Raw genomic sequence first — 21,035 nt, 5'->3', positions numbered from 1 at the left:
AGGTCAGGAGTGCGAGACCAGCCTGGACAACATGGGGAAACCCCGTCATTACTAAAAATACAAAAATTAGCCGGATGTGGTGGTGGGCACCTGTAGTCCCAGCTACTCAGGAGGCTGAAACACGAGAATCGCTTGAACCTGGGAGGTGGAAGTTGCAGTGAGCCGACATCATACCACTACACTCTAGCCTGGGTGACAGAGCGAGACTCCATCTCAAAAAGAAAAAAAAAAAAAAAGAAATGACTGCTTCAGATAGCGGCATCAGGGCCTCCAAGGGGAAGCCCAGGCCACAAAGAACCCAGTGTCAGATGACGTCTCATCCAGAATAGCAGTCATAATATGACTTAACCTGCCCAAGAGCCCTGTGAGGGAGGCATTATTTCCATGTTACAGGGGAGAAAACTGAGGCCTTCAGAGTGAAAGCTACTTTCCAAATGCCGCTCAACTAACAGGTGACAAATCCAGGCTTTCTTGTCTCCGTATACTTTATCCTTTCCATCAAACTACTTGTGTCTGTTAGGAAGCTTTTTGTTGTGAAAGCCAGCAAAAACATTTCAGCAATAAGCACATTTATTATCACACATAGCAAGAAGTCCTGAGTAGGACAGCTCCAGGGTTGGTTAAGTCAGTGGTTCCCAGCCTTCTGCTCTGCCATCCTCTGAATATCAGCTGCCCCTGCTATGATTTCAAGATGGCTGCAGCCCTAGGCATCACACCAGGCAAGACAGAGTTCAGAGTGAGAAGAGGGAGTCTCTTCCTGCGGGCATGCCTCTCTTGGGAGTCAAAGTAACTTTCCCAGAAACCCCCTCAACAGACTTATCCTCATTTCCCATTGGTCAGAGTGGGGCCACATGCCTCTTGCTAAGACAGTCACCAAACGGGAAATGGAATTATCAGGACCGATTTACCCCAAGCACGACATACCCTCTACTGTAGGCAGTAGAGACAGCTGTCTCTGAAGTGTGGAGGAACACAGATACCTAAGCAAAAGTTAGGTTCTAATTGCAAGGACTAGGAGGGAATGGCAGAGGGTAGCAGTCAACTCTGCCTGTCCTCCACAACCACCCCAGCTCCACCAGGCTCTCCCATTCATAGGTGGAAGTTTTTACAGTTATTACTCAGTTGGCATGGAAAGCAGACAGATCTGTGGTCCAAGTCCAGCCCTGGTATGGGAGCTTTTGCAAATATCCTCATCTGAAGACACCGTGATCCCACCCTCAGGATTTTGCATTTTTCTAAAGGAAAAACAATATCAGGAAATTTAGAAAAAAGCAAAATAAATTTAAAAGAACAAAATGCAAACATAAATTCAGGTTTATTTACTGAGTCCAGATCTCAGTCTGAGCGTGGTTTCAGGCTGGCTTGGCTGGACCCAATTCATGAGTTCCAGTGCTAACTCCTCAACCTCCCCCTGTGAATACCAAACCTAGCAATATGACCTCCACATGCAAAGCTGACTTGGATTTTAAACCACTTTAAAGACCTTTAACTGAGGAAGAGGCATGACTAGACCCATGTTTTAGGAAGGTAATTCTTGTTGATGGCAGGCAAAGGGTGGGTAATGAGGACTAGTGTCAGAGAGACTGGTTAGAACCTGTTAAGGCAGAGACGAGGAAGTTATGTACTAGGGCAGCAGCACTGAGGATGAACGGCAGTGACAAGTTCAGAGAAACATACCAGAGGAGTTCTATCTCCAGCAAGGGTGGATTGGGTGACTGAAACTCACTCTTCTTGCGGAGGACAGCTAGGAAATATGGACAAACTACTTTTTAGAACACCTGTTGAAGGCATCATAAAGCTAGCAGGAGAGTGAAGAATCATTAGGCCGGGATCCAGGGGAAAATAGAGGCCCTGGAGGTGAGCCTGACATTTGGAACAGCTCCTCCCCTAGGGGACATTTGCTGAATCTGGAGGAAGTGGCCAAGAAGCTGAACAGCACTAGAAAGACATGAGCTAGAGGTCAGGGCCTGCCAGGATGTGGGGGTCTGTCTGGTGAATCCCCCTCACTTAGAGGTGAGACCATGAAGGACAGCACTCTAAGGGTAAAAGTGGACCAAAAGCAGACAGTTCACCTTCAAATCATCCCAATACTGGAAATTGAATTTAAGTTACCCCAGATTGCTCATGCCCAGATTGCAGGTGCCTATCAGAAGCAAACATGAATCCTCTCTTTAGGAAGATAACATCAGCAGATGCCACAAATTATTTCTACAAACTATTTTGCAAATGCCGTGTCTGGCATACAATAAAAAATAATGGGACAACATGAACAAAAGCCAGCAGGGAAAAAAAGACAGATAAGAGCAACAGACCCACAAAGGTTTCCAACTTGGGTTTTATCAAACATGGACTTTAAGATAATTTTGCTTGACCAGATTGAAAACTTCAGAGAATTGGAAACTATCAAATGGAAAATCTAGGGGAAAAAAACCCTAATACTTGAAATTAAGAACTCAGTTGATGGGTTTAATAACACATTAAACACAGTTGAAGATATAACTTGTGAATTGGAATATAGGCAGAAGAAAATATCCAGATGTAGCACAGAAAGACAAATAGATGGAAAATTAAAAGAGCAGGTAAGAAACATTAAACTTCAGTGTGTATACAGATCAGTTGGGGATCATGTTAAAATTCAGATCCTGATTTGGCAGGTCTCAGGTGGAATCTCGGATTTTGCACTTCTAACGTGCTCCCGGGTGATGCTGGTAATGATCCACAGACCACATTCCAAGTATCAAGGACATAGAGGATGCAGTGAGAAGAAATCCCAAAGAAGAAGAGACAGAGAATGGAGCGGAAGATAAAATGTCTGAAAATGTTTCAAAACTGATGAAAGATATCAAGCCACAAATTCAAGAAGCTCTACAAACTCTATTGTCACACATTTAAAAAATCTGCACTTTGGGAGGCTGAGGCGGGTCGATCATGAGGTCAGGAGTTCAAGACCAGCCTGGCCAACATGGTGAAACCCCATCTCTACTAAAAATACAAAAAATTAGCCAGGTGCAGTGGCAGGTGCCTGTAATCCCAGCTACTCAGGAGGCTGAGGCAGAGAATTGCTTAAACCCAGGAGGCGGAGGTTGCAGTCAGCCAAGATCGCACTACTGCACTCTAGCCTAGGGACAGAGCGAGACTCTATCTCAAAAAAAAAAAAAAAAGAAAGAAAGAAAGAAAGAAATCCACACCTAAGCATATCATATTAAAGCTGATAAAGAAAAGAGAGAGAGATCTTAAAAGCAACCAGAGGAGAAAAGACGGATTACCTCCAAAGAAGAAGCAATAAGATTGTGGCTAACTTGTCAGAGACAATGGAAACCAGAAAAAAGGACAATGATGTATTTGTATATATATAAAATATGTAAGGGAAACAGTTACCAACCTATGATATTATACCTAACAAAACTATTCTTCATGATTAAGATGAAATAAAGACATTTTCAGACAAATAAAAACTGAGAGAATGTATCACCAACATACCTGCCCTAGAGAAATACCAGAGGATATTCTTTAACTAGAAGGAAAATGATTGTAGGAGGAAGCTCAATGATGCAACGAGTAAAGGCAGAGCAATTAAATGCTGAATGTATGGGTAAATCTAAATTAATGTTGGCCGCATAAAACAGCAGTGATGATGATGATGTATATACAGAATTAAAATAAACGACAATGGGGTTGGACATGGTGGCTCAAGCCTGTAGTCCCAGCACTTTGGGAGGCCGAGGCCGGTGGATCACTTGAGGTCAAGAGTTTGAGACCAGCCTGGCCAACATGGTGAAACCCCGTCTCTACTAAAAATACAAAAATTAACCTGGCATCATGGTGGGCGCCCATAGTCCCAGTTACTTAGGAGGCTGAGGCAGGAGAATTGCTGGAACCCGGGAGGTGGAGGTTGCAGTGAGTGAGCCGAGACCACACCACTGCACTTCAGCCTGAGCAACAGAGTGAGAGTCTGTCTCAAAAAAAATGAAAATAAAGTGAAATAAGATACACAACAATGGCAAGGTTGGGACAGGGTAAATGGAAGCTCTAAGGTCATTGCATTGTCTGAGAAGAAAAGTGCCCATTGATATTAGACTTTGGTAAACTAAAGATTCATGTTGTAATCTATTATGGAACCACTAAAAGTAGTGAAAGACTGTGTAACAGTCAAGCTAATAGAGGGAGGAAAATAGAATATTTTTTATTTGACTTAATTAAAGAAGCCACAAAAGAAAAGAAAAAGAAAAATGGGGATAGGATAGATGAGACAAATAGAAAGTATTTAATAAGATGGTATATTTAAACCTGAATATAACAATAATTGCATTAAAGATAAATTAACTAAATCCTCCAATTAAAAGATAAAGACTGTCAGAATGGTAGGTGAAAAACAATACCCAAATATGTACTGTTTACAGGAGATGTCTAAAACATAAGGGTATAGAAAGGTTCAACATGAATGGAAAAAATAAGACATATCATTCAAACTGTCTAATAGAAAACTGGAATATTAGTGTCAGACATACTATAAGGCAAAAAGAATTTGTAGAGATAAAGAGGAACCCTTTGTTCTGATAAAAGACTCAATTTACTAGGCAAATAAAACAATTCTAAATTTGAATGTACTCAATAATATCGCCTCAAAATATAAAAAACAAAAACTGATGAATTACATGGAGAAAGAGACAAATTCACAACCACAGTGGAAGACTTTGACACACCTCGTTCAATAACTGATAGGAAAAAAGTATGCAAGGATAGAGATTTGAACACTCCAATTAGTGCACTTACCCCAGTGGCCATCCATGGACTCGTTTACCCCACAGCTGCAGAGACATCCAGCAGAAGTGACACACAGGACTGTGTAGCAGGGAGGACAGGTGGAGTCAAGAACAATTCCCAGGTTCTGGACTCAGGCCCCCAGAAGGATGATGACGCTGTATCTAGTTATTTTATTTAGCCCCAAATGATTGACTAGGAAAGAAAACATTGAGGTAGGTGCCATCAGCTGAGAGTTAGAGACAGAATGCAAAAATAATAATCGTTACAATTTATTGAGTGTCTTATGCAATAGGCACTGTGCTAGGTGCTTTATTATTTTTTTTTTTTTTGAGACGGAGTCTTGCTCTGTTGCCCTGGCTGGAGTGCAATGGCGTGATCTCAGCTCACTGCAACCTCCGCCTCCTGTGTTCAAGTGATTCTCCTGCCTCAGCCTCCCTAGTAGCTGGGAAAACAAGCACACACCACCATGCCTGGCTAATTTTTGTATTTTTTATAGAGACAGGGTTTCACCAGGCTGGTCTCAAACTCCTGACCTCGGGGGATCCGCCCGCCTTGGCTTCCCAAAGTGCTGGGATTACAGGCATGAGCCACCGCACCTGCCCAGTACTTTAATTAGCACTAATTCTCAATACAACCTTTTAATAGAGTTCTTATCTCCATTGTATAGATAGGGAAACGGAGGCTCAGAGAGGTAAAATAAATTGAATGGGATGCTATCACTGTCCTCAAAAGATCATAAAAGTTTCTAGAAAGGAAACAAGTACACAACCATACAATGGAGAGATGAGGATAGGGAGTGTGAGCTGAGAGCAGGAAGCTTCCAGTCTCCCAGGCAGAGTCCTGGGGTCCCAGTTAGGAGAGACAGGCCCAGAGAGGAGGGCAAGGGGACATCAGAGTCCATAAGAGTTGGAATCCACTTAGGATGGATTTCCTAGTGACTTCTAAGGTAGACTTTCTTCCAGAAAGGGCCCAGCCAGCACTCCAAGGGCAATGCCCTGGGCTCATGCCAGAAAACAGGTTGTGGTCCCAGCTTCAAGAAACTCACAGGCCAAAAAGGAAAGTGACAGGTGCCGGGTATTTTCCCCCTAAATACATGCTTACAGTTAGTAAGGGGGTGAGGGTCAGGGGTTAAGGTCAGAGGGATCAAGATGAATTCCTCATAGGTTCTGTTTCTCTTTTGCCTATCCTAAGTCCTTGGTTCTGGCCAAACAGTTCTGAAGCTGGCACTCCAAGGGCCTCCATTTCAGAGACTTCGTTACAATTCCAAAATGATCATTTTCTCCTCCCACCTGTTTACCATGCTGGATGGACCCTCCCCTTCTAAACCACAGCTCAAGGATGCCACCTCCAAGAAGCTCTCCCAGATTGATCTGCCTCCCTCTCCCAACTCTGTCATTTTCCCCAAAGGCTGTGCTCCTGCTTTCTCTCAACTGACCAGGCCTTCTCCCTGCTCAGTTCCAGGTCCCCCTGCTGGCATCAAAGCTGTCCCTTCATCAGCTAGCAGTGTGGTTGTGTCTTGGCTCCCCCCTACCAAGCCCAACGGGGTGATCCGCAAGTACACCATCTTCTGTTCCAGCCCCGGGTCTGGCCAGCCGGTAAGTGAGTTCAGGGCCAGATGATGAAGGGGATGGAAGAAAAGAAAAGGGACCTTGTACATCAGCCGGCTTCCAGGCCAAACCCTGAGGCTGCCTGTATCTGAGCTTCTGCCTGGATTCATAGATAAGAATGGGGACTGGCCACCCAGAGTGGCCGAAGCCTTACTCAGTGTCCATCTTGGGTCAGTCCTCTGTTCCAGAGGCCACAAGATTGTCACAAACACTGGGGGCTCTTTTGAGTCAGGTGGGCCATGCCCAACCAGGCAGGGTGGAAGGGAGGTCAGCCTCGGCTCTTCTGCTCTGGCTCAGAGGAAGCTCCCAGCAGGTCCCCAGGCTGGTCTGTGCCCTCTGGGAATGAACCATCTTTCAACATGGTTGGTCTGGGCTTGGAGGTGCTGTTGGAGCTCTGCCCTGCATAAGCGCCTCCACATGGAGCAAGCTGAGGGAGGAGGAAAGACGGGGGAAAGCCGAGAGAAGGCACAGGCGTCTCTCGACCAGGGCCTGGGCTCAGGCGAGAGGAGAGGATTGAGAGGCTGCGATATCTGCCCTAACCCTGGGAGCAGAGGGGGCAGCCCCCAGGCAGGACATAGGGCAAGGGGCTAGCCGCCCTTCCACTGATGCTCTGAGGGGCCCCACAGAGAGGGAAGGGAGGATGGGGATGGGTGCAGTGGGATATGCACCTATATCCCATCATATGTATTTTCCCCTCTGCCTCTTTCATCATCTCCAGCCAGTCAACCACCAAGTCCTGCTGAGTGACTACTATAGAGAATGCCTGTTCTAGGTACGGGAGCAGGAGCAGATACCTGCCCTCAAGGGGCTTCCAGTCTAGTGGAGGTGGATGGCAGAGGGGAGCACACTAGAGGGGCAGGAGTACTGTCAGGAAGATGTGCCCAGGGCTGGAAGCAAGGAACGGAAGCAAGGAGCAGAAGCAGGAGCAGGAGGCCTGCTCCTCCCTCCATCAACAACTGGGCATCAGCCTGAGATCTGCAGATAAGCTTATGGCCACCAGGAAAGCTGCCCTGAAATTGCTCAGTAATTGTGTCATCATCTCCTCCTATACTCTCTGCTTTCCTGTGGTCTTTCTGAATTACCCTCTGAGTGGTAGGTGGCCCAGCTCCCCGCCAGTGAGACCAGAGTTCTATTACCAGAGGGGAAGCCCACTGACTGCGGCCCCCCACTCCATCCTCACGGCCACTACCTCACATGCAGCAAAGTGCACAAACGTCATCACTGTAGACCTCCGCGAATTTTCACAACCCACCCAAGCAGCAGCGCCCAGAGCACAGAACAGGACATTACAACACCCTGAATCCCCATGCCCCCTTCCAGCTCCCGCCTGCCCCTCCTCCCAGGTAACCATCATCCTGACCTCAATAGCATAGATTAGTGCTGCTTCTTTTTGTACTTTGTGTAAATGGAATCATACCATTTGTCCAGCTTCTTTTACCCAACATTATTTTGAATTCCTGAATTTCATTCGCGTTGTTGTATGTGGTTATAGCTCATTCATTCTTCTGTATAGCTTTTGTGTGCATATGTTATGATTATTAATCCATTGGGCTAGCCGTTAGTATCCATTGATGGAAGGCTTTGGGGCAGTTTTCAGTTTGGAACTCTTCAAATGGTGCTGCTGTGAACATTCCTGTATGTGTCTCTGGGTGCTCATGGGCATGGATCTCTGCCAGGTGTACGCCTAGGAGAGGAAGCGCTAGGTCACAGAGTTTGCAGGTGTTCACTGAGAACAGCCTGCCATTGTTGGGTGCTCATGCCAATCACACCCCCACTCACAGGGGATAAGAGTTCCAGTGACTCCACATCAGCACAGACACTTGGTGTGTTTTGGGCAATGCTTTCAGCCATGTGTCCTGCTCTGTTTTCCCGTCTCCCCCCAACTCTACCCACCCCCCACACACACACACACATTCTAGGCTCTCAGGACACTAAGCTGTTCACAATTCTGGACAATACTGTGCCTCTTCACACCTCCACACCTTTGCCCCGCGGCTTCTTCCCGTGGCACGTTCCTCACTCCCGTCAGACACTGAATGCATTTGAAGGCAGTCACTGTTCACATATCTGTCTCCCACCCTGGTTTCTGAGGCCCCCACGAGGACAGGGGCAGCATCTTTTCATCTTTGGGTCCCCAGAGGCTGAACACTGTGCCTGGAACATCCTGGTCATGGAATACACATTCGAAGAATGAATCGGTAGCAGCCTAGCAATTCTATAGCCTCAGATATTGGGCAAGCTTCTGTTCCTTAATTGGTGGGAGAGGGTAGTCATTCTCTAGCCTGGACTTTTGCAGTCATTTCCTCCTCTGATAATGAAGTCTTTCCAAGGTTGGTGTCCGGGAGCCACGCCTCCTCACTAACTCAGGCTTCAGGCTCCTCTCCCGGGCTCCGGAACAGAGCTCCTGGTCCCCGTCCCCTCCTCCTGCTGATGGAGACATTGGGACCCTCCCTCCATCTTCTTCATGTCTTGCGATTTGCCATCAGACAGTATCACACAAGTCCTGCTGATGTGATGAGAACTTCAGTTCAGCCCTGTAGGGGGACTGGGGTCAAAGGTTGGGGGGAAACTGAACTTAGTGAGGGACCTGGGGACCTAACCACTGTGTGTGACGTGATCACTTTGCACAAATATATTCCAAATTCCAAACAATTTCAACACAAACTCATTTATGAAAGACAGCTCTGGGAGAGGGTGCTAGGGGTGAGGGCACACGCGCGTATCAGTGACAGTGCAAAACTGTGGCATGAGCCTGGAATTATAGGCAGATACCTGAGACTGTGTGTGCTCACACATGCTGGCGGGAGCGGATGAACCATACCTGTGGCATCCTCAGAAAAGACTGTGTATGGCCTTGGCTCTAGGGAAGCTACCCCTGGGGATGGCCACAGCTACACTGAATCCTGGTAGACATTTTACTAATAATATAATACATTTTTCACTGATTATAAAAATAATGCAATTTTATTATAGAAAATCTGTAAAACATATAAAAGAATAGAGAGGAAAGTAAAAATTACTTGTACTTCCTACAGATAAACACTGGTGATGTACTTCCTACAGATAAACACTGGTATATAGTCTTCCAGTCTTTGATCTGTACACATAGTACAGGTTTTGAGGTGTTTCATTAAACCAAATTAAAATAATATTATACATAACGTAATGCAATCTGCTTTTTTCATGGAATACCTGTTGGTGCTTTCCTACACCATCAGATATTCTTCTAAAACATTTTTTCGTGTGTATGTGACGGAGCCCTGCTCTGTCACCCAGGCTGGAGTGCAGTGGCACCATCTCAGCTCGCTGTATCCTCCACCTCCCGGGTTCAAGTGATTCTCCTGCCTCAGCCTCCCAAGGAGCTGAGATTACAGGCACACATCACCACGCCTGGCTAATATTTGTATTTTTGTAGAGGCAGGGTTTCACCATGTTGGCCAGGCTGGTCTCGAACTCCTGACCTCAGTGATCCGCCCTCCTCAGCCTCCCAAAGTGCTGGGATTATAGGCATGAGCCACCACCGCACCTGACCTAAAACATGATCTTGAGTGGCTGTTTATACAGAATCTACTTAACCAGTCTCCCATTGTTCTGTATTTAATGTGTCTTTGAAATTTTCACCATTATAAATTACGTCTCAATGAACATCCTTCACAGAAATCTTTATGCACATATTTTAATATTTTCTTAGGGTAAATTTCTATAGGAATTCCTGGGTCACAAAGAATAAGTATTCTTAAAGTTCTGCATACAGACTTACAAATTGCCCTTCGGAGCATTTGCACCCATGTATGTTTCTACCAGCAGGGTGAGTGGCCAACAGTATTGTCCTTTGCACCTATGCTGATCCCACATTTGTTTTCTGATTTGTTCTGCTTTATTTTTGTTAGATGGATTTTTTATAAATGTGCCTTATTTTAAAGTACCTTTCTTTGGTTACTAGTTAGGTTGTATATGTTTATTGGCTATATTTTTCTTCTTTGGGTAATTGTCAATTTACGTCCTTTGTCCAGGTTTCTGTTTGGGTTTCTCATATTTTTCTTATTGATTTATAAGTGTTCTTTACATATTAAGGATAATAGCCATTTTCTGTCATATAAGTTGCAAGTATCTGCCAATTCATTGCTTTCCTATTGATTCTGGTTTTTTGTTTTTGTTTTTGTTTTTGTTTTGAGACAGAGTTTCACTCTTATTGCCCAGGCTGGAGTGCAATGGCACAATCTCAGCTCACTGCAGCCTCCACCTCCCAGGTTCAAGCGATTCTCCTGCCTCAGCCTCCCAAGTAACTGGGATTATAGGCATGCGCCACCACGCCTGGCTAATTTTGTATTTTTTAGTAGAGAGGGGATTTCACCATGTTAGTCAGGCTGGTCTCAAACTCCTGATCTCAGGTGATCCACCTGCCTTGGCCTCCCACAGTGCTGGGATTACAGATGTGAGCCAGTATGCCCAGCCTTTGATTCTGTTTTTGATGTATCATAGTTTTTCTTTTTACAGAAGCTGAATTTATCAATCATTTCCATTTATGATTTTGCCTTGATTTTTATGATTAGAAAAATGGGTAAATATTTACCTATAGTTTCTTCTTTCATAGCTTGCCTTTTTTCAAAAACCTTTGATCCACTGGAACTTTATTTGGGGCTATGTCTGTGTGCTTTTGAACATGATTTCAGGAGACTCACGGGGTGTCCAGGTTAAAAGGAAAGCGCCCAGTATCTGGGTTGGATGCTAATACCTACAAGAAGAGGCCAAACTTTCTTGCCCTGCCTGTGTAGGCACAAATATACACTCAGGTATACACTGATGCACACAAGCACATACACTCAGCTGTTCTCCACACATGCACATGTACATAGAAACACATACGTTCCTGTACTGTCACCAAAAACAAGCCCGGAGAAGAATATGTCCTAGTTTACAAAGGACGTGCACACCCCTGCCTCCTTGTGCCTCAGTCACACACAGGTTGGGCAGAGCTGTATTGCTTCCCTAGTTTGCAAGAGAGAAAACAGCGTCCAGAAACTATGGGCAACCTTACGGGCTGTATGCCCAGGAGGAAGGGCAGGAGGGTGTTGAAGCCACTACACTACCCCACACTTCAAGCACATATCAACGACAGATACGCACACCAGTCCCAGGGTGCTGTGGCCTGAAAGGGCTTCCCAACCACCAGGGCTCAAGGGTGGCTCTGCACCTGCCCCCCCGGACCTCCTGGATTCAAGGCCAGACCCCCACGAGGGAGGCAGGAGGAATATGCCAGGGAGCTGTGTGTGTGTGTTGCAGAGATGCCTGTGCCTTTTCCCCTAACATTTCCCTGCAGATGGCCTGGGGCCAAAAAGGATGTCTCCTCCTGTTATAAGTTATTGGGCCTCTCAGCCCCACTATGGGGCATGAAGAATGTCCCTCTGTGCCCATACATGCCTGGAGGTCTGTTCCTCAGCATGTGTGCATGCGTCTACATGTGTGTGTGCTTGTGAGCGTGTGTGTGCAAGATCCTGTGACTGCAGAGATAACTAATTATTAGCTCCCTCTGGCCTCGGGCCCCCATCTGTTCTGGGGCTGCTCTCCCTCCCTGGACTTCCGCTCTGTTTTCAAAGGGGCCCTGGTGCTGTCCTCCTCTCCCTTCCCTGCGGCTGACCAAAAAATAAAATAAAATGAAAGTCAGCCCCATCCCGCCCGTGCCAGGGAAGAGGCTGACAGGAGGTCTGCAAACTAGCGCTTATCAAAAGCTCCTTCTCAAATTCATTTCAATATCTGAGCCTCTGGTTTCCAAGGCAACATAATCTTTTCATCAAAGCAACTGGTAAAACCACTGGGATCCGATATTGTTTTGTTGGCAACTTGTCAAAACTGTCATTTTGTTAAAAAAAATTTTATAGATTTGTATAACCTACAAATATATATGGTGATCTATACCACTAATAATCATTAATAAAGTGCTACCCAGTAAAGCTTTCATAGTTCCTTCTCCCGCCCCCTCCTCCCTGGACGGGCGGGCGTGCTGCCTGCAAAATGCAGGAGTGGTAATTAGACGGCAGGGCTAGGAGGTGACGGGAGCCAGAGCAGGCTGCAGGAGCCTGTCTCCAACCCTCATCAGGCAGAGGCAGTCATTTGCCTTCTTCCTGAAGACTCTTTCCTCAGGGCTTTCCTGGGACCCCCTGTCCCCCATTCTCCCTTCTCCTGGCTACCCCGTCCCTCACCTAAAGTACTCACATCCCCTGGCCTGAGCCACAGCTGCCAGAGCGTGGATCAGTTAAAGAGGTAAACTGAGGCTGACCCAGCAACACCGCGAGGCAGGCCCATCAGCTCCCAGGGACCAAACCCAGGGCACACTCTGTCCGCTGCATCTCTAAAACTTGGAAAGGGCAAATAGGACAGAATCCTGCCTCGCATCCGACCCCGCCATCCTCTCCTCTGAGCCCCGGGCACTGAGGAAGATTTGGACGCTGGAGGGCCCCAGTTCTGCTTCTTAGAGCCTCTTTGCCTCTGCCCCGCAGGCTCCCAGCGAGTACGAGACGAGTCCAGAGCAGCTCTTCTACCGGATCGCCCACCTAAACCGCGGTCAGCAGTATCTGCTGTGGGTGGCCGCCGTCACCTCTGCCGGCCGGGGCAACAGCAGCGAGAAGGTGACCATCGAGCCTGCTGGCAAGGGTGAGAAGCCTGAGGCTGTGGCAGAGGGGCAAACACTTCCAAAAGCTCCCTTACAGAATCCTGGTTCTCCCCAGACAGGGTCTCTGCCTGCTCCGCTTTATCTGCCACCCAGCTGTGAGGAACTGGCCACCCGCCTGCCTCCCGCACACACCAAGACTGGGCCTCTGCTGCCCCCTGACTCCAGCAAAGCCTCACAACAGGCTGCCTCCGGCTCTTGCCTGGGGCGGGTGGACAGGGTGCACTCAGTTCCCGAGTCCAAACCCTACTCCCAGCTTGAAAAAGGGGGAGTCGCCTCTACCCCCAATTCAAAGCCGGGCCTTTGTCCCAATGCTCAGCTCCTCCAGAGGTGGCTACAGCCGGGTGTGCTGCTTCCACAGAGCAGCTGAGGCTCAAAGGAGAGCCCCCGTGCTGAACTGGACACCGGGCAGGGGTGATTCCAGCGATGGCGGATTCCTGCGATCCGCAGACCTTTACGGAGCGCGTGCTGTGAAGGAAGGCTCTGGGCTAGAATCAGACCCTCTTAGGGAGTGCCCCACTGAATCTCTGACCGGGACATGGGTGTGCCATGGGGGCTGCACCCCCACTTTTCAGAGGAATGACACTTCCAAGGCCTCATCCCAAGGGCAAGCTGTAGCAGCCGCGCAGGTAGAGCTGCAAGGCTGAGCGTCTGCCTCTCCCTGGGGCGTAGGAACTGGCCACAACTAGCCCAGGACCGCAGGTCCTCTACTTGCCGTTGGGCCTCCCTGGGCCCCTCCTCACTCCCCCACTCTCTTATCCACCGCAGCCCAGACGAGAGGAGGTGGTGCCTGCGCAGCCTGGCCAGCCTACCGGGGCCACTCAAGCTTCTCTTGGCCCAAACACAAGAGCCCCAAGCCCTACCCTGCCGCGGGCTCAGAGCCAGCCAGCATCTGATCGAGGGCCTACGGTGGGCCAGGGGCTTCCACCTGCCCTGCCAGCAGGGCTTGTTGACCCATTCCACAGCTGAGCAACCTGAGGCAGGAGTGGCATGGGCTGCAAAGACAACCGGGAAGGAGTGAGCTAGCTCTCCCAGCGCCAAGTCAGGGCTCTTTCCACACAGCCTCAGCACCTCCTACCACCCCCTAACCCCTACCACCAACCTCTTCTTCAGGAAGGGAAGGGGCCTAAAGCCTATCACCCTTCCAGAACAGCTAGCACTGGCCCAGAGGCAGGAGTGTGAGGGCTGGGCATCTTTGCAGAAGGCTGGCCTCTTCTCCTGGGGGCATTAAATAAACACGGTCCTAGAGAGCTGTGGACTTCCTAGAACACATTCACACAGCGTCACCTCACAGCCGCCCTGTGAGGTGGGAAAGACAACCACTCCTGCCCCCTTCCCCCATACACACACACGCACACACACACTGCACACTCATACATGTGCACACGCACAAACACATGCATATGCACGCGCACACACTTATACACACAGACCCACACATACATTTACGCACATACACATACTAATGTGCACACACATGCATACACACACTATACACACTAATATATGCATACACACATGCACACACATACACACTATACACACTAATACATGCATACACATATGCACACATATACACACATACACACTATACACACTAATACATGCACACACATATGCACATGCATACACACGCACACACACACTAGACACACTAATACATGCACACATGCACACACATACACACTATACACACTACATGCATATACGCATATACACACGCATACACACATGCATACACGTGCACACTCACATATGCACATACACAACATGCACTCACATGCATGTGCACAAACACGCATCTGCGCACACACATACACTAACACACACACACACATACACACACTCACATGCAGATGCACATACACACCCACACATACACACACATATGCACACACACCCTGAGACACAGATTCAGGGAGCCAACCCCAGCCTGTGGCAAAACCAGGTCTGGAACCTGATCTCTGGAGAAACTCTGAGAACACCCACAAAGCCCCCAGGCTTCTCACCGCCCCCGCATGGAGGCCGTCTTCATGTGGACCCCTCTGCCGGGCCTGTCTGGTGCCCCCACTGCTCCAAGCAGACCCCAGAACTCCCCTGCTCTGAGAGCCCCTTGGCACCTGGCACGACCAGCACAGGAGCCCACCCCCACGCCATGCACCTGAACCTCTCAGCTGCTCCCTCACTCTCACTCTCCCTCCACCCCAAGAAGGGCCCCAGCTCCATGGGCCTCCTCTACTCTCTGAGGCACTTGGGCACTTGGTTCCTTTAAATCTGGGCCTGGCGATCTCCCAGGCACTAGATGCATTTACCCACCCACCACACTCTGGGCACCTGTGGCCCCGCACCTTCTGTGATGCTGCTGACCCAGTCCTCCGCCACCACCCTTGGGACACTCCCGTCCTCTCTTCTGTGCCTGTGCATGCTGATCCTAGAGTTGGTCACTTCCCTGTCAGTCTGCATCCCCTCCTGTGGCCTCATCATGCCTGCTGACTCTCAGATCAGCGTCTTTGGTCCAGGCATCTCTCTGGTGCTCCAGAACACGCACCCACCTGTGGTCTAGCTACAGCTGTGGCTGCACTGTGGACTCAGTATGAGATGAAGCCATCCGGTCCTTCCTGCCAAGCCTGCCCCTCCTTCAGTGTGCCCTGTTCCCATGAGGGTGCCATCACTCACCTTGGTGGCCCAGCCAGAATCCTGGGAGCCATCCTTCCCTCCCCGCTCTCTTCCCCCAAACCAGCCAGACCCTAAGTTTTGTCAGCTCTTGCTCTGAGCCCCTCATCTCCCCACTGCTACGCATCACCTCCAGCCTGCATTCTGGCCACCATCCTGTCACGTTCTGTGTCCTCCAGGACCCCCTCCACCAAACTATCCTCTGCAAGCAGCCAGGATGCATCTGAAATCGGCTGAGGACACCACTCCTTTTTTTTTTTTTTTTTTTTTTTTTTTGAGACAGAGTCTTGCTCTGTCACCCAGCGTGGAGTGCAGTGGCATGATCTCGGCTCACTGCAACCTCCACCTCCCAGGTTCAAGCGATTCTCTCGCCTCAGCCTCCCGAGTAGCTGGGGTTACAGGCACCTGCCATCGTGCCCGGCTAATTTTTTGTATTTCTAGTAGAGAGACAGGGTTCTGCCATGTTGGCCAGGCTGGTCTTGAACTTCTGACTTCAACCTCAGGTGATCCGCCTGCCACAGCCTCCCAAAGTGCTGGGATTACAGGCGTGAGCCACCAGGCCTGTCCAACACCACTTCTTATAACCCTCTGGTGGCGGCTTTCTAAGAGGGAGTCCAGTCTCCTGGCCCTGCCAACAAAGCCCCCAAGATTCTACTTCTGCCCGTCCCCTTGGACTCAAGCTTTGGTTACCCCAGAGTATTTGCAAACCCTCACAGCTGCCGTGAGCTTCAGGTCTCCATGTCTGTGCTTAGTGCTATTCCCTCTTCTTGACATGTGTCTCCTTCCCTGCTTATAAAGTCTTTCTTAACCTTCAAGTCAGAGCTTCCAATTCCAGATGCTATTCCCGGCCGTTGCCTCCACTGCCCACTTATGGGCAGCATTCATTCCCCCTGCCTCGCACCCCTAGGCTTCCTCGTGCCTGCACCTACCATAGCATTTTGCCCCGTTATAATTTTTCCTTAAGTATCTGTCTCCCTCTTGGATGGTGATCAACGTGAGGACAGGGAATAAATCATACTCATTTTTTGAATCCTCAGAGCCTCTTGTGATCCTGACCATAACTGGTATTTCATCAATGTTTCTTGAGTCAATGTCTCCCAGCCAATATTCCCTGACACCTACCCCTCACCAAAAGCCCAAGGTGGAGGTCAGATCGGGGAGGGAGGATTTGAACTGTAAATCCAGGGGGCCCTAAGGAAGGAGGCCAGGATATTGTGCAGGGGTAGAAGTGGAGTGGCCCTCATCCTCTCCTCCCTGTAGCCCCAGCAAAGATCATCTCCTTTGGGGGCACCGTGACAACACCTTGGATGAAAGATGTTCGGCTGCCTTGCAATTCAGTGGGAGATCCAGCCCCTGCTGTGAAGTGGACCAAGGACAGGTGTGTGTCGGGACAGTGGAGGGATGGGGTGGCCCCAAAGAGGGATATAGTAGAAGAGCGGTGTGGAGAAGAGTCTGGGGCCCTCCTGCCTGGTGACCCGGTTGCCTCCAGGCCTGCAGAGGCCCTGCAGGGTGTGCTGCTACTGCTCTCTCAAGCAGGCCTGGCCTCCTGGCTCCCCTCTTGGGAGCCAAGGACCTCCCTTCCCCGGATGGTTAAAGAGGCTGGGTTACCTCATACCCCCAGGGAGTGCTGAGCAAAGCCCCAAGAACCCGGCGTTCCCTGGCGAGCCTCCTTCCACCCCCAGCTCTCTTTGTCACACACCGGGGGGAGGGCCTCAGGAGGAAGGGGTGCTTGACATGACCCACCCGCCCCATCCTCGCCCCTGGCAGTGAAGACTCGGCCATTCCAGTGTCCATGGATGGGCACCGGCTCATCCACACCAATGGCACACTGCTGCTGCGTGCAGTGAAGGCTGAGGACTCTGGCTACTACACGTGCACGGCCACCAACACTGGTGGCTTTGACACCATCATCGTCAACCTTCTGGTGCAAGGTGAGGCTCTGTGAGGCAGGTGACCCCAGGTGGGGACAGGGATGGAGAAAGGGTAGGGATTCCATCATGCGAGAGGGTCATCGAATGGAAGAAGCCAAACCAAGGGAGAGACAGACCTCTGGAGAAACAGAGGTGCACATGGAAGGGGAGGCAGGAGAGCTGGGGAGTGGGAGTGGGAGTGAGGGTGTGGGAGAGCCAGCACCTTCCCGTCACGGGGGGACTCCCCACACCCCATCACAGGGTCCGCCCTTGTGCTAAGGGGTGGTGGCTTTCCCCTCACAGTTCCCCCGGACCAGCCCCGCCTCACTGTCTCCAAAACCTCAGCTTCGTCCATCACCCTGACCTGGATTCCAGGTGACAATGGGGGCAGCTCCATCCGAGGTGAGGAGGGGTCTGGATGCGGGGGAAGATAGGGGAAGGAATTCTGGGCCCGGGGCAGGGAAGGGGCTTCACCCACTTCTGCCATTTGTCTCCAAATGACAGAAACGATCTGGGGGCCAAGTGACCCACAAGGAAGTCACTCAAGTGCCAAGGGAACTGCAATGGCCCAGGCACCTGGGATTTAGTACGCCCGCCCCTCCAATGCCACTTGTGAGCTGTGTGACCCTGGAGTAGGCTGTTTCCCTCTCTGAGTCTGGGTTTCCCAATCTGTCGAAGTAGACAAATGGACTACTAGATCAGTGCTTTCCAAGTGTGGGCGTGCGTCTGCGTCACCAAGGGGCCTTGTAACAATGCAGTTCTGACTCAGCGCTCTGGGCTGGGGCTGAGGACCTGCCTTTCTAACACGCCCCAGGTGCTTCTGAGCCTGCTGCTCAGGGGGCCGTGTCTAGATCCTAGTGAAGATCTAGACAGGACCCCTTGTGAGCCTCACAACTCTGGTTTTCTCCCCTCCCGAACCTGCCGCTAACCCCTAACACTAGAACCAAAGTGACAGCGTCAGACCCGCCGGGGGCTGGACCCCAGGCCCTCACAGTGTTTTGTTGATTGGTTGGTTTAACATAGAGAGTTGACTGGGGCTGATCCTTCCAATTTTGCTTCTAAGGAGCATATGCCCGTTCCAATGACCAAAAGCCTGACTCTGCCCCCTGCCTGGAGCCCAGCCCCCTGTTGGGGTACCTGAGGCTGGGCTTCTGCTGCCTTGCCCTGCCCTGCCCCCACCTGAATCAGGCCTACCCTCCGCAGGCTTCGTGCTACAGTACTCGGTGGACAACAGCGAGGAGTGGAAGGATGTGTTCATCAGCTCCAGCGAGCGCTCCTTCAAGCTGGACAGCCTCAAGTGTGGCACGTGGTACAAGGTGAAGCTGGCAGCCAAGAACAGCGTGGGCTCTGGGCGCATCAGCGAGATCATCGAGGCCAAGACCCACGGGCGGGGTGAGGCCCAGGCCACTGGGGCAGGGAAGGAGCGATGGGCCCAGGGAGGGTGGGCTAGAGGGGCCAGGTATGGGGTGTAAGGTGGCTGGGGTGGGGAAGGAGGGGTCCAGGGATGCAGGGAGACTGAAGGGAGGAGCCTCAGCCTCCTTCCCGTCACCACAGTGTCCCGATGGATCCCATTAGGAAAAACTAGTTCCACTTCCCCACCGGGTGGCCGAAGGTGGCATTCCTTTGCCTCTTCCCAGCTCCCTTCCTCCTCTACTGAGGCCCCTCTCCAGGCCCTGCCCTTTTCTTCCCTCTCCTCCCTCCCCTCCTCTTCCTCCTCTGCGCCCTGGGGCTTCCCCACCCCATCTGTGCCAAACATGTATTCTCCTGGAGCCACTGCCATCCCAGCTGCCCCAGGGAAATCCTTTCCAGCCCAGCCCAGTCCAGTCCTGCCTCCCACCAAATCTCTCTAACCTCTCTCTCTCCCTCCGGCCTGCCAGAGCCCTCCTTCAGCAAAGACCAACACCTCTTCACCCACATCAACTCCACGCATGCTCGGCTTAACCTGCAGGGCTGGAACAATGGGGGCTGCCCTATCACAGCCATCGTTCTGGAGTACCGGCCCAAGGGGACCTGGGCCTGGCAGGGCCTCCGGGCCAACAGCTCCGGGGAGGTGTTTCTGACGGAACTGCGAGAGGCCACGTGGTACGAGCTGCGCATGAGGGCTTGCAACAGTGCGGGCTGCGGCAATGAAACAGCCCAGTTCGCCACCCTGGACTACGATGGCAGTGAGTCGCAAGGGTGGAAGGGATGGTACAGAGGCTGGAGCAGGGTGGTGCGAAGGAAGTGGGCAGAGTGGCAGATACATAAAGAGACAGACTAATAGAAAAACAGGCAGGAATGCAGGTGGGGGAAATGCTGGCCTGCAGGTGAAGGGGCTGACAAAGGGGACATCAGGTTTGTTGCAGCCAGGTAAGCGGGCAGATGCACCAATGGCCACTACAGATGGACAGACACATAGGTCAGTAATACCAAAGATGGAGAGTCTTTGAAGCTGCAGTCCTCAATCACTGTGCATTGTTTCAGGGAGGTGACAAGGGAGGTAGAGGTGTGGTTGAGGTCCTGACCTCTAAGAACTTTCTGCTGATATGGAATATTAGCCAGGAGGGGACAGCCTATGCTGCAGTCGCAAATACCAAAACCTGGTGGCTTAACCCTGTACTGATTTGTTTCTTGCTCTCTTGGAGTCCTGCGAGGGTTGAGTGGCCACCATCTTTTTGAACATGGAGACTCCAGGATCCACAGAAAAGGCATACTACCAGTTCCTAACTGCATCTGCCACATGGGGATACATACACACGTGCACACATACACACACATACACACACACACACATCCATTGAAGGGACATGGAAGGCTGAATTCATAGAAGCCCATTGTCACAAGTCTACCTATGTGTTAAGGAAACAGAATAAAAGCAGTATTAAAAGGGGATGGACTCAAGCAAGGAAGGCTTCATGAAGGAGGTGACTCTTAAGCAAAGCTCTGAAACAGGCAAGGGTCAGGGCTTGGCAGAGGGTTATGTCAGCAGGAGAACTTGCCATGCTTCCCCACAGGAGCCCCAGGTTAACAGATATGGCCCCCAGGAGGGGTGAGCAGGGAGAGAATGTAGGGTTTGTAGTGGTTTTTGTCTCCATCTGGGGAAGAGAACCCAGGGTCCACTGCCCAGACTTCTCCCTACCATGCTTCACCCTTTGTTCTCCCCACCCCAGCTGGATATCAGAATTTAAGCCCATCAATCCACTCTCTGGGAATGAGCACTGAACTTCAACAGGCGAGAGACTAACTCCAGGAGACTTTAGGCTAATTCTACAACAGTACCAGGACTTTGTTAATAAAATGCAATATTAAAACTACACAACTGTTCATGGCTGTCCTGATAGGACCAGAATTTGGGGAGCAGAGGGGAAGTCCAGGGTTCTGTGCCAGGAGGTGGAGGTCAGAGCCCAAGGGCAGCAAGAGAGGTCAGAGGACTGC

At 50.3% G+C, this 21,035-nt stretch overlaps 1 protein-coding gene across 7 annotated transcripts in view, besides 2 other annotated features; it reads left to right on the top strand.

The window, feature by feature from the left end:
- Positions 1-21,035, top strand: part of DSCAML1 (DS cell adhesion molecule like 1) — a 389,743-nt gene that overhangs the window by 360,607 nt on the left and 8,101 nt on the right. For all 7 annotated transcript variants that reach the window (XM_011542918.2, NM_020693.4, XM_011542917.3 and 4 more), the window contains 7 exons: positions 6,220-6,359; positions 12,869-13,022; positions 16,972-17,089; positions 17,479-17,642; positions 17,925-18,023; positions 18,825-19,013; positions 19,499-19,786. In XM_011542918.2, the coding sequence (XP_011541220.1) occupies positions 6,220-6,359; positions 12,869-13,022; positions 16,972-17,089; positions 17,479-17,642; positions 17,925-18,023; positions 18,825-19,013; positions 19,499-19,786 (1,152 nt within the window). The remainder of the gene's footprint in view (positions 1-6,219; positions 6,360-12,868; positions 13,023-16,971; positions 17,090-17,478; positions 17,643-17,924; positions 18,024-18,824; positions 19,014-19,498; positions 19,787-21,035) is intronic.
- Positions 13,372-14,352: an enhancer, noted in NCBI's record as "H3K27ac-H3K4me1 hESC enhancer chr11:117313272-117314252 (GRCh37/hg19 assembly coordinates)". NCBI's record gives its function as "activates a minimal SCP1, AML or CMV promoter by ChIP-STARR-seq in naive and primed H9 embryonic stem cells {active_cell/tissue: H9 hESC(naive and primed)}" and the evidence as "EXISTENCE:reporter gene assay evidence [ECO:0000049][PMID:30033119]".
- Positions 18,225-19,199: an enhancer, noted in NCBI's record as "H3K4me1 hESC enhancer chr11:117308425-117309399 (GRCh37/hg19 assembly coordinates)". NCBI's record gives its function as "activates a minimal SCP1, AML or CMV promoter by ChIP-STARR-seq in primed H9 embryonic stem cells {active_cell/tissue: H9 hESC(primed)}" and the evidence as "EXISTENCE:reporter gene assay evidence [ECO:0000049][PMID:30033119]".

This window comes from Homo sapiens, chromosome 11, assembly GCF_000001405.40.
Source record: "Homo sapiens chromosome 11, GRCh38.p14 Primary Assembly".
NCBI lineage: Eukaryota > Metazoa > Chordata > Mammalia > Primates > Hominidae > Homo > Homo sapiens.
The sequence above is the reverse complement of the archived record's forward strand: the minus strand, read 5'-3'. Positions and strand labels throughout refer to the sequence as shown.